Consider the following 14,229-nt stretch of genomic DNA (forward strand, 5'->3'; position numbering starts at 1 on the left):
TGTGTTCAAACAAAGAGATCATAAATTCAATATGAAAAAAGCAACAACCACAAAAAAGGGCAAAGGACATTAATCAAATAAAATATACATGGGCTGGGCACGGTGGCTCATGCCTGTAATCCCAGCATTTCAGAGGCCGAAGAGGGTGGATCACTTGAGGTCAGGAGTTTGAGGCCAGCCTGGCCAACATGGTGAAACCCCCTGTCTCTACTAAAAATATAAAAATGATCTGGGCGTGGTGGCACACACCTGTAGTCCCCGCTCCTCAGGAAGCTGAGGCAGGAGAATCGCTTGAACCCGGGAGGTAGAGGTTGCAGTGAGCCAAGACTGCGCCACTGCACTCCAGCCTGGGCAACAGAGCAACACTTCATCTCAAAAAAATTATAATAATAAAATAAATAAATAAAAATAAAATGATATATGTATTAGATATTTTTCTATATTTTATAAATTAAAATTAAAATGTCCTATCTGACTAAAAATTTTTTAAATTAACATTACAATAATGAGAAACTACCTTCTACCCATGAAAATGGAAAAGATTTTAAAGATACTAATATTCACTGTTATTAAGTTTATGGCTAAAAACAAGAGGCACCTTCATGGTCTATCAAGAGAATATAAACAAGTAATTCTAGAAAACAGTTTAGCAATTAATACTCATTAGCCTAATAATTTTCATTCTAATTTCCATGTAAAGAAATTGTCAGAAACCCAAATAATAATGAAAATTTAAAAATCCTCTAGATGCTCAACAACAGTTTACTGGTGAAGTGAAATGTTTCACAAAGAGGACAGGGTGGGTTTGGTGCCTGAGGAACAACTCAGCTGTTTTCTATTGCAAATCTGAAAAAAATGCAGGTAGCAAGTCACTGGAGGGATAAATGGTTCCACCCTTTAAAATGACGAAATAGCCTTTGAAAACCACTAGCTTAATATATTGCTAAATACATGGCTCAGGTTACACCACTAAAAATGGTTTTGAAGAACATAAAAGGTATGGAAAACACAATATAATATTAAAGGTTTTAAAGGTATAAACTGCATATGCTATATATAATACACACATGCAGCCGGGCACGGTGGCTCACGCCTGTAATCCCAGCACTTTGGGAGGCTGAGGCGGGCGGATCACAAGGTCAGGAGATCGAGACCATCCTGGCTAACACGGTGAAACCAGTCTCTACTAAAAATACAAAAAAATTAACTGGGTATAGTGGCAGGCACCTGTAGCCCCAGCTACTTAGGAGGCTGAGGCAGGAGAATGGCATGAACCTGGGAGGCGGAGCTTGCAGTGAGCTAAGATCGCACCACTGCACCCCAGCCTGGGTGACAGAGAGAGACTCCATCTCAAAAAACAACAACAACAACAACAACAACAACAACAACAATATATATATACACACGCGCGCGCGCTGAAAAAATGTGGAGTTTTCCTTGTTTCTACATTTTAGTATTTTCTATATTCTGTATAGTGAGCACACACTACTTTATGAGCAGAAAAAAATAAGGGAGCGGTTGGTGTTGCTGTTGTTCTTAATACACAGGGCCACAGTCTCAGCAGAAGCTTACGGGATTGCTAAGGTAGCATCACCTACAAAAATTATCTTCTATACTTTCTCAAACAACAAGAGACAGGAAATAAGACAAATAAGTATATTTATCTTACATATAAAACTAGTAATCTCTTAAATTTAAACTTGCTTTTTCTTCCACTGGATTACAGCACCATGAACATAATAGCAATGAAAAAAGAATATACATTATTAGTCTAATGCACCACAGCCTTCTACAGCAACTCAAGTAATCACGTGTCACACATAAAAAGTGACATCTTGGCAACATGTCTAGTCCCGGCACTTTGGGAGGCCAAGGTGGGAGATCACTTGAACCCAAGAGTTCAAAACCAGCCTGGGAAACATGGCAAAACCCTGTCTCTACAAAAAAAACACCAAAAATTAGCTTGGCGTGGTGTCACACACCTGCAGTTCCAGCTACCTGGGAGGCTGAGGTGGGAGGATCACCTGAGCCCAGGAGGTGGAGCCTGCAGACAGCCATGATCGTGTCACTGCACTCTAGGCTAGGCGACAGAGCGAGACCCTGTCTCAATAAAAAAAAAAAAAAAAGTGATGTTTTCCAAGTGGAAAATGCCTACTATAAAAACGAAAGCACACTTAACTGTAACGCTACCACACAGGCAAGAAATTCTATTTCTTTCCTTGGATAAAAACGAAAGCATACTTAGCTGTAACGCTACCACACAAGCAAGTTATTCCATTTCTTTCCCTGGATTTGAGATCCTAACACGTCCTTATGTTAACTCAGAAATTCCAAATTCACTGACCTATAATACAAATTTAATGGAAACAAGCTATCTCTGATATATATTTAAGTCAAATGGCAACTTAGCTTAAATATTGTCAAAGGAGGACATTTTACCATTAACTCATAAGGTTCTTACTAAGAAAAAAAATTTTCAAAAAACTTTTACCTTAAAATGAGATGAAGAAATTGAAATACATAACAAATTAAAATAACTATTAACACTGATAACACCAACTAACTACATTAACAAAATAATAATTAGTAATATAGTTACTAGTAACACAAATCAACACTAATAAAATGAGAGACGGGTATGGGTATGATGAGCAAGAAAGATATCCAAATTCCTAAGAGCTATAATTCTAAAACATAATTACAAAATCTTAACAAAGAATAAATGCTTGAGGTGATAGACACCCTGTTTACCCTGATGTGAGTCTTTTGCATTGCATGCCTTTAATATATACACCAACTATGTACTCACAAAAATTAAAATTAAAACATTAAAAAATAAAAATAAATTAGAACTCAAAAAAGAATTATGCCAGCATGTTCTATGAGAGACAAGAGTTCAGTTTACATACACTAAATTGATTTGTAAAAACAGTAAGATTCTTCAGAAAGAAAACACCTCACAGCCTAAATAACTATCATAATAGCTACCACCTATTAAGTGCCTACTAAAAGACAATTACTTTACATACATCATTCCTATTGCAAAAACAAGCTGGGTTTTATTTATCATCCCAACTAAGACAACAGGAAGCCGCGGTGAGAGGACAGTGGCTTTCCCAAAGACTACAAAGCAATACACCATGATATCTATTTGTACTTGACATAGAGTGTTTTTCCCCTTCTATATTTTGAAATGACTAAAGAAACTACTAGCAAATAAATAAAATAGAAACTATAGCTGCTGTTTTTTAGTTCTTTTGAGATGGAGTTTCACTCTTCTTGCCCAGGCCAGAGGGCAATGGTGCGATCACGGCTCACTGCAATCTCCACCTCCCAGGTTCAAGTGATTCTCCTGCCTCAGCCTCCCAAGTAGCTGGGATTATAAGCGCGTGCCACCATGCCTGGCTAATTTTTATATTTTTAGTAGAGACAGGGTTTCTCCATGTTGGCCAGGCTGGTCTCGAACTCCTGACCTCAGGTGATCCACCCACCTCGACCTCTCAAAGTGCTGGGATTACAAGCATGAGCCACCACGCCCGGCCAGTTTTCTAGTTCTTAAATGGAGGTTGAGTTCTTCTGACATAGTCAGATAAACCAAAATACTCTAGCTAAATACTGAAATGAAAATGTATTTATCAAAATCATAAGTATAAACACTGCTTCTTAACTAAGAGAAAAGTCTTTCACAACTAATTAAACATAGAAATGATAAGTAAAATCTGGTTTTCTGACATTATTAAAGACCCAAATCGTTTACTGGAGGAAGTCACAAATTATGAAGAAAACTGAGAAAAGAAAAATCTAAAAATATGGTGCAGTAAAAAATTAAAATATTAATTGTGATTATATTAAGCAATATATACTAACCATGAATCAGGGAGCCATTTAGCCACTGAATATAGTAGTTCTGAGGAAAAGAAAGCAGGATTTCATTGCTGATGATTGAGAAGGGTAAAAGCAAAACAGCCCCAGCTGACACTGCGAGAGTGAACGTGCTCAAAAACAACCTGGAAGAAAGGAGAGTCACCATCACAAGTGATCTGAAAAAGCAATGAACACGAAAGTCATCAAAAAGAATGCAAACTCTTTAATGTTTTAATCAAAAAAGCATTATATTAAGAACTTTATTAAATATATGTAGTTGGGAGACAAATGATATACATATGGGCCTAGAAGTTAAACTAGATAAACTCTAAAACTCCTTACTCTATGAAAAGGTCAGTAAGTCTAACAAATAGTACCTAAAAGATAAAGACATACTGAAGACACAGTACTTCACATATTTTACAAAGAAAAAATTGTAGTTCATTCCTCTTTTAAATGTAAGTATTTATTTCACAATTGCATTTAATTAACAACTTTGACAACATATGCTAACAGCAATGCAACAACTGAGGTGAAAAAATTACTATGAAAGCAGTATAAAAAAACAAATTAATTTAAAATGTTTATTTCAGAGGAAAAAAAACTTAGAAAGCCATTGGCCTGACATCTTTTTAATGGGTAAAGATTAAATAAATTATAGTAATAAAAAACAGAAAACTATTAAACAGTATTGTACTATTAATATTTAAAACACTACTTTGTCATAAAAAAGATAGCTTTAATAGGTACTAATATGGAAGAATATCTAAAATAAGTCAACAAAATAATGAAGAAAAGCATGGACAATAAATGTAAAACATGTTCTCCCCCCACCAAATGCATATTTATACAGAGGTACAAAAAAATCCAGCATAACATGTAACAATCCCATAGGAAAGAGGGATTATAAGGTGCTTTCACCTTCTCAGTTACACATTTCTGAAACATTTTTATTTTCTACAAGAAACACCTAACTTTTTAAAAGATTTTAAAAGGATAAATTGGCAAAGGAAAAAAGAACTTCACTAATATTAGAGATAGAATGGATATTAAAGTTCTATTAAAGTTAATATTGGAAGAAAGTAAAAATAAATATAAGAAAATATTTTTTAAAAGCAGGAAAAAAAAATACTAAATACCCAAAAACACATCTAACAGAGAAACTTTGAGGCCAATGCCATCTTGTGGCAACCAACAGAAGTGTATTCCTACTTCAAAAGCCAAAAATAACCAGGAAACCTCCTTGGTTTAGTAAATCAATTATAAATTTTAAAATACAGACCATATGATACTTAAGAAAAATACAACTGATATCAGATACAGAATTTCTGTGAATTCATTTTGCTCAATAGACACCGCATTTCCTGGGAAAAGCCCTCAGACAAGTGCTGTCTCAGGTCCGCAGCCAGCTCTGGCAGCGACCAGCCAGCAAGCGGTCTCCAGCAAGCTTCTCCAGTCATGGGAGGAAGCTATCCTGATTGCTATCATTCCTTCCTATGCTAAAATTGAGATCAAATCCAAAATCTCACCATTCCAGGTCCCACACGGCTATCCCAAGATAATTTTCCAGGCTCTTCTCTCACTATGACCCATTTCGACATACACTTAGACTTACCTAACCCCCTCATAGCCCAAACATGAAATGGATTTTCAGGGTTCCTTCTTGCCCCTCTGCACAGTCTACTCACTCCCTAGAATACCCTCTAAGTTGCATGGCAAACTCATACATGAATTTCAAGACAGACCCTAAACATCATTTGCCCTGTGAAGCATTCCTCAACTTCACCTTCTGAAATGGAGCATTATTTTTAAAAATTACATCTTCAGAGTAATGCATCTTTTCTAATTGTGGTAGTAAGACAAGTGTTTCCCCAAATATCTGACATTTGTGACTAGGTCCTCAATCCAACCAGGAAGACAGAACCTTTGTCTAAATAAAATAAGGTGATGAGGGCATACACTCAGATGCTGAATATAACTAGTCACTGAATATAACTAGTGTAAAAAAAAGCCATATCTACAGATCATATTGTAAAGTGTCTTTGCAAGGTGATGATAATTAAAACAATAAAACCACCTTAAATCACTTTAACACTCCACAAAGCTTTCACATACTTTCAGTTAGCAAACAAGGACCAGGATCCTTGATTTATGAGTCTCTCATCTCCTGTTCTTAACCCCCATCATCAGTGATGTGGGATATGATGAGGTTTCTCTTCGAATAATCTGATCAATCTTTTACTCTTTAATTCATGGTGCCCCACCCAAATTTTCCCTTTTCCTCCTTTTTCCTTTTTGCCTTTGTTAGATGCCCAGGCACACCACAGTACCAGGCGTTATCAGTACCAGCTCACATTCCTTATTTGGAAAGAGAACTTTCTAGCTCATTAGACGCCCCTTTCCCTTTCCTCTCCGCTTTTACGTGCCTACCTTATCTAAAAAAAATCAAACGTTTAGCCAACTGGGATTAGATTGTACAATCCGACCCCAGCCAACGGGGAAAGCATACAGGGGCAGGACTTGCGTCAGGAATAAAGGCTCTCGTGCCCCTTTATTCAGGTGTGCTCTCATGGCGACTGGCCAAGGAGACACCCCTCTGCGCAGAAGTAAAATTGCTTTACTAAGAATTCTTTGTTTGAGCGTTCAATTTCCTTAGGATTTTCAGTGTTATTCCTAACAGTGATATGGTTTGGATATCTGTCCCCTCCAAATATCATGCTGAAATGTGATCCCCCAGTGTTGGAGGTGGGGCCTCATGGGAGGTACTGGATCGTAGGAGCAGACAGACCCTACAGTAATGAGTGAGTTCTCATTCTGTTAGTTCACAAGAGAGCTGGTTGTTTAAAGGAACCTGGCACCTTCTCTTCAATCCTGATCTCCCTTCACCTTGCACCATGAGTAAACGCTTCCTGCGGCCTCACCAGAAGCCAAGCAGATGGCAGTGTCATGCTTGTACATCTGCAGAACTGCGAGCCAAATAAATCTTTCTTTATCAACTACCCAGTTTCAAGTGCTCCTTTATAGCAACACATAACAGACTAACACTATCAGGCTCTTCCTAAGCTTTCTACCATGGCCCTGCTGCTCCTCATTCCCAGCAAATGACTGACTCTCCCGTTTCAGAATGAAAAAAGGGGTATGATCCCTCCATACTTACCACCTGATAAAGCTATCAACAGACACAATTATTCTCCTATCTGTCAACCTCCTGCTCATCTGTGCCGATCTCTACCTCTGCCGTCTCCAGGGGCCTTGCTTCACCGGTTAGTCATCCTCCCTCTAGCTGCTGACCGGCCAAAAATAAATATCCTCAGGTGCTTCTGCTCTTTCAAAATGCTTCTGAAGCAGAACTCACATATCACACCTTTACTTCTTTATCCTCAACTTCTTTATTAACCCACTACAGTAGGACTTCTGCTCCTCACCTAGAGTGAAACAGGTGCTCCTTACGGTCAAATCCATCAGATCCTTTTTAATTGCAATCTGAATGTGACCTTCTATGACATTTCAAATTGATAAGCACTACTTCCTTCTTGAAACTCTTTCCCCAACTTCTACAATACTCCCTCTTCCTCATTTTTCAATCTCAGACTCAATGTGACACTCAATTTTTTTAAACAAAAAATAAATGCTTTTTATTTATTTGTAGTTATCAATAAAATGAAAGACCTCACCTTTTTAAAACTCCACTGCAAAATACAGATTACTATAAAAATATATTTCATGGGTTAGTATTTCAATTTTTTTAAATTAAAAAAACTAATCATAAGCAAAACCTGCCACTTTACATCTTAAAGTTTAACAGGTTGATAATATCTAATCAAGAAGTACATATGGAAACAAGACTTTATCATAGTTGAATTTAAATCATTCAAAATTATTCAGTAAGATGTATATAGTGTTGATGACAAAGAAAGTTTCATATTTAGCATTTTGCTCACACCCTCCCAAATATCATCAAAAGGTCTGATTCTCTGTGCAACAGAAAAGTAACAAATTGAGTGACATTTTACATTCATCTGTGAAATGTTGGCATACCAGCATTCCATCTTAAGTCTTCATCTCAGCTAATCAATAAACATTTGCTGCATGAATTAGGCTTCCTAATACGTCACTCTAAACTAGTGATTCTTAAGCGGTAACACTGTCAGGATCACCTATGGAGCTTTTGTTAAAGCCCATCTCGGAGATTCTACCTCAGTGGGTCTTTCAGGTGGGGCTCCCTCACTATACAGGTATTTGCAGAGTGCCTGCTCCCGTGCCAGGACTGTGCTAGGCACTTGAGAACAGTGAACGAACACAAGCGAACATTCTTGCCCAAGGAGGGCTTATCCTGGACTGCAGAGAGTCAGGCAATAAACAATAAAACATTAAATATGTAAATGTATAATAAACTAAAGATGATAAGTGTTACAGGAAAACACGGTAAGGAAGACTGGAAATGGGGAGGAGGACACACAGGTTTCAATATTAAGTGTGGCACTTAGGGAAGGCCTCACTGAAAAGTTGAGACTTAGGGAAAAACACAAAGCAAAACAAAACTAAATAAGGTGAGAGTTAATTCAGTGGGATATCTGACAGAAAAGAATTCTAAGCAGACAAAACAGGTCAAAAGCGCTACGGTGGAGGAAACATTAATTTCACCCCTAATTGTATCAAGCACCCTACCCTAGATTTTTTTTTTTTTTTTTTGGCAAATGCTATTTAATCCACACAACAGTACTGCAAAGTAGGTGAGAACTCTGTTTTACATACACAGAAAGTGAATATTTGTTTCTCCATCTCTTCTGGACTCAAGTTAATCATGGGTCCAGAATTTGAACCCAGATCACCCTAACTCATCAGTTCTCACTCATTCTACCACAGCAAAAGACAAAGAGATCAATAAGGGCAGGGAAGAAAGATGAGGGAGACTAGTCAGACTCCTCCTCAGGTGACCCTCTTCCCCATGCCCCTCCCTTAACTGTATCACCACTTTATACGAACCCACTGACCTTCAGGAAGAGGATTTCTGTATGCATCCCCAGGATACAGAAACCACCCGTGACTCGGAAAACCCAAACCCCTCGCACGTGCTGTGCCAGCTGCCCCAAAAGCAGGTAAGATGCTCCTGGGCATCTACCATAAGGAAACAGCACATCACCCTATTGTCATTCAATGTACTTTTAGGGGTAAAAGACAAAGTGATGTGTTCTTTTCTGTTTATAAATTACGGATCTACGAGTACACTGAAGTCGATTTACCACCACAGGTGGCACACAGACTGAATGGAGAGGAGAAAGGTATGTATCTCACTTGCCCTTCACACCTAGAGGGTTTCACATGGAGAGAATATCTACCTTTTATTCAGTCTCTTATTCGTTGTAGCTTTTGTGAGGTGAGTGAAGTGAATTTTTAAAGGAGCTCTAATTTATACAGAGGAAAAAAATGATTCACTTAATTTTCACAAATGTCACAGGGCTAAGAATAAAACTAAAACCCGTAATTCTGTAAATTTAAAACATCAAGTTTTGGGCCTAGGTTTTAAAGTGAGAGTAAGAATTTCCAGCATAAAGTTACAGCTATTTTTGTTTCTTATCTAGCTTCCCTATGTCATTTAAAATAAATTACCAAATCTAGTAAATCACAATCCATTTATATTCATTTTTCAGTTATGAATCAAATCAGGCAGAGTCAAGTCATTTATTAGCTGGGAGTTATTAATTTCTTTATTGAGGTGAAATTCACATTACATAAAATTTACCATTTTAAGGTGAACAATTCAGGGGTGTGTAGTTCATTCACAATGTTGCACAATCACCTCTTTCTTTCATGTTCATTGCCCCAAAATAAAATGCCAAACCCATGAAGCAGCTGCTCCCCATTCTCCTCTCCCTCAGCTCCTTGCAATCATCAATCTGCTTTTATCTATTCTGGACATTTCTTATAGATGGAATTGCACACTATGTGGCCTTTTGTGTCTGGCTTCGCTCACTTACTATGGTCCATCCACAATGCAGCATGTATCAGTACTTCATTTCTTTTACAGCTGAATACTATTCCATTGTATGTAGAAGCATTTATTTGTATGTGTGTACAAGTATGTGAAAGCACACAGAATCTTTCTCTTCCTCTTCCCCTTTTCTTACTTCCTCATCCTCCTCAGCAAAGGATGCATAATCTGATACTAATTATGAAGAAAGATCAGACAAAACCAAATAACTACTCAATAATCTTCAAAATTATCAAGGTCAGGAAAGTCAAGGAAATAATGAAGAAGTGTTTCAGTCTGAAGGAGACTAAAGGACATGACACCCAAATGCAATGTGTGATTCTGAACTGGATCCTTTCACTACAGAAAGGACATTATTGGGATAACTAGTAAGTTTGAATGGAGTGTGAGTGGTACCGCTGTCTATGCTAATTTCACTATTTTGATACATAGGTAGAATGCACTGTTTATTGGAATTATACATAAAAGTATCCTGAGGAAATGAAGCATCAGATGAGCGACTTCTAAACAGTTGGAGTAAAAAAAACTTTGTGTTCTACTTCCACCTTTTCTATAAACTTGAAATTTCAAAAGAATTTTAATGTATCAATAAAAAAATCCTGGAATACAGAACTTTCCTACATAGGTGCATCTGTGCAATTTCACATTTAAACAAGCAAAAACTAACAGAAAGGAATTCGCTGCTTTCCATTCAGTTTGATACTTCAATAAAATTACAGGACCTCCCTATCATATCTCACCGGTGTACATAAGGAACCTACAGGACGGTCTGGGCCCATGTTCCTGCTCACAGCAGGCAGGTTCAGCTAACCAGAGGAGATGTCCGCTGCTCGGTTCAAGAGCATCATAGTCTTCTCAGCAGACTGTTCAAACAGCCAAGAGTCTTCTTTCTTATGACCAAGCAATTAAATTAAGGCCATTTCCTCATTTAATCCCCTGAGGATAAAATCTGTCAGCTCCTTAAATATGCAAATTCCAATAGGAGATTGGATTATCCACACATATTTGCTTACATGTGCTTTCTAAAATTAATATGATAAAGCTATTGTAATGTGCTGGGTGAATATTTTCCATACTTCTATCCAAAAATTAGAATTGGATTTTGAGAATTGATGACTTCAGAATCAGAAACAGAACAACTGAACTTTAAAATACATACGAAATCCTGTTGACGATGGCATCTTCATCTTCTTGTTCATCTGCAAAAATGTTTAAGGTATTAATATTCCTTTATCTTCTAACAAAATGCGTCATTAATTTATTAAAACTATAAACACAATATAAACTTAAAAGGCAATTATTGAACAGAAACAATTTTCAAAAAGCACTGTATTTGTTTCAGCATAGATCCAAATTTAAATCTCATTAAATCAAGTAGTATGGTATATAGAGAATGGGATGTTTCAATTAACAAAATCCTGATTAATAAAACTACCATATGTAAATTAAAATTTGCTCAAGAAAATAAAACTTAGTACAACCTTAGGACCACTACAAAGTAAATTATTATACAATGTTAAGTGAAACTGCTAATAAATAAAATTTTCTGGGTGATAACAGCCAACAAAAGTTACTATAAAATTAAAATTCAGAAACATAGAACTCATAATTTTCTATAATATGAATTTGTCATTAATAATAGTAACAAGGAGTCTCCTGGACCATCCTAAATAACTTGGATACTACTGCCTCAGTAACTCATAATTATTGTTACAAACAGAAATTGGCTGGGCGCAATGGCTCACACCTGTAATCCCAACACTTTGGGAAGCTGAGGTGGGCAGATCTCTTGAGCCCAGGAATTCAAGACCACCTTAAGCAACATAGGGAGACTCCATCTTTACAAAAAAATTTTAAAAATTAACTAGGCATGGTGGCACATGCCTGTAGTGCAGGATACTCAGGAGGCTGAGGTTGGAGAATCACTTGAGCCCAGGAGGTCGAGGCTACAGTCAGCCATGATTGCCCCACTGCTCTCCGGCCTAGGGGACAGAAGGAGATCCTATCTCAAAAAAAAAATTGTATATATATATTTAGAAATAAAAATTATATATAATATATAATAAAATATATACAATTATAAATATATTAAATATATTGAAATATATTTAAAATTATATTATATATAAAGTTTGTTTAATCTTTTTTAAGTAGCAGATGGTCTTCACTCACACTCTCCTTCTCGCTCATGCCTGTCAGCAATCTCTTTTGTCCTCCCACATAAACTTACAAGCTAAAGAGACTGCCCAATTATAAGAATACCACAGGCTGGGCGCAGTGGTTCATGCCTGTAATTCCAACACTTTGGGAGGCAGAGGCAGGCGGATCACAAGGTAAAGAGATCAAGACCATCCTGGCCAACATGGTGAAACCCCATCTCTACTAGAAATACAAAAATTAGCCAGGTGCGGTGGCGGGCGTCTGTAATCCCAGCTACTCAGGAGGCTGAAGCAGGAGAATCACCTGAACCCAGGAGGCAGAGGTTGCAGTGAGCCGAGATCACGCCACTGCACTCCAGCCTGGTGACAGGGCGAGACTTGTCTCAAAACAAAACAAAAAAAAGAATACCACAAACCCTCCTGGCCCCTCCTTCTTAAATGCCTAATGTCCTCCAAGACTCTCTGCTCAGGTCTCTGGAATTCTGAGCACCCATCTGCTTCAGTGTCAAGGGTGTATTTGGGCCATTCTGTTAGTCCACCTCCATTCTTAATTCCAAGATTCCCAAAAGAACTTTTACAACCAAAGGGACCACAAAAGAACATAGTTACAATTAATTTTTATATACTGTTGTGCTCACATCCAATTAATTATCCAGTCTTGGCCAGGCGCAGTGGCTCATGCCTATAATCCCAGCACTTTAGGAAGTCAAGGCAGGCAGATTATCTGAGGTCAGGAGTTCGAGACCAGCCTGGATAACATAGTGAAGCCCTGTCTCTATTAAAAATACAAAAATTAGCTGGGCATGGTAGTGCATGCCTGTAATCCCAGCTACTAGGGAGGCTGAGGCAGGAGAATCACTTGCACCCAGAAGGTGGAGGCTGCAGTAAGCCGAGATCGCACCACTGCACTCCCGCCTGGGCGACAGAGTGAGACTCCATCTCAAAAAAAAAAAAAAAAAAACATCAAGTCTTAGAGAATGTGTTAATGTCTCCATATTCATTTCACTTCTATTCCCAGCACACTACCAACTAGGTCCAGGGTCCTCATCACTCTCCCACCACTCCTGCGTTACTCTAAAAATGATCTAATAAATCTCCAATTTTCCCACTCACCAACCTCTAATTTCACTTAGAATGATGCATTTATATACATTCATTCTTTCTCTCTCCCTCCTTCTGTGTCTACAGTTCATGAAACCATGCCAATGAATTTTTTTAAATAGCTACGATACTATTTTGAATCTGTATCTTCAGAATTTTTAGAGGTTATGGAATCCATGGAGTACTTCAAGTGCAGTCACAGAGCCAAGTAACAGTACTAAACTAATACACTAGAGCAGGCACTATAACCTATTTCTCTCAAAAGTCCCGCAAGTTTAAACTGATAGCATAATATTAAGAAATCATTAAGTATTCATACAGCACCTACTATTAGCCCAACATCACAAGCAGATAATCCTGTGATTTTCAGAAAACAGCTGAGATTTAACAAAAAATAGTAAGGTAATTGCTTAGGTACTTATAAAACCCTGACCTAAAAAATCTGAATTAATGAGCACAAAGTTCATTAAAAAGAGTAAAGATATGGTAGTCCCTCTGGCTGGATAAGGATATATGTGAAAGAATAAAAAGATAATACAAGATGCTAGTAATTGGATACTAAATAGTATTATGGAGACTCTAAATATCTACTATATGCTCTAGTAGCCAGAAAAGGTATGAGGTGTGGATGAGTAAAACATTCAAAGTCAGAGCCGCTCACAAGGAACCAAATATCCTTATAAACTCGGGAATTTCCCAGATACTAAATAGCCTAGCACTATTCTTAGTTGGACATAAGAATTGTGATAAACAAGGACTCTGGTCTAAGAGGATGACTCTAAGAGTAGTCAGATTCCCTGGAGGTTATTTTTAGGTCTCCTAGTACCAGACAACTGCTTACTTCAATCACCGGCATATTCAATACACTATGACACTGAAGTGTACTAATATATCTTATATACCATGCCTAGACCATGTGGCATTCTAACAAAGGTTTTAATTGACATGTTTCCACTTGCCTGATTTTCTCTTGTATCTTGTGATGATGAAGTAGGAAACAACGTAGAGAATGGCAAAAAGAAGGAAACATATCTGAAACAAAACGAAGTTAACAGATCATTTACTTTTTTGCATATCTTTTTTAAATACTAGAAGATATATCTGTGATATTTA

General features: G+C 37.4%; 1 protein-coding gene across 28 annotated transcripts in view; it reads right to left on the reverse strand.

The window, feature by feature from the left end:
• Positions 1-14,229, reverse strand: part of LMBR1 (limb development membrane protein 1) — a 224,172-nt gene that overhangs the window by 153,726 nt on the left and 56,217 nt on the right. For 20 of the 28 annotated variants that reach the window (XR_007060137.1, XR_007060136.1, XR_007060135.1 and 17 more), the window contains exons 2-4: positions 14,076-14,148; positions 11,016-11,055; positions 3,868-4,007 (exon numbers count right to left, since the gene is read on the reverse strand). Coding sequence is in view for 12 of the 28 variants with exons in the window: in NM_001363410.2 (NP_001350339.1) it covers positions 3,868-4,007; positions 11,016-11,055; positions 14,076-14,148 (253 nt within the window). In the remaining 16 variants the exon portion in view is untranslated. Of the gene's footprint in view, positions 1-3,867; positions 4,008-11,015; positions 11,056-11,740; positions 11,859-14,075; positions 14,149-14,229 lie in introns of all 28 variants that reach the window. The other 8 variants (NM_001350957.2, NM_001363411.2, NM_001350955.2 and 5 more) reach the window with 5 other exon arrangements.

This window comes from Homo sapiens, chromosome 7 (assembly GCF_000001405.40).
Source record: "Homo sapiens chromosome 7, GRCh38.p14 Primary Assembly".
NCBI lineage: Eukaryota > Metazoa > Chordata > Mammalia > Primates > Hominidae > Homo > Homo sapiens.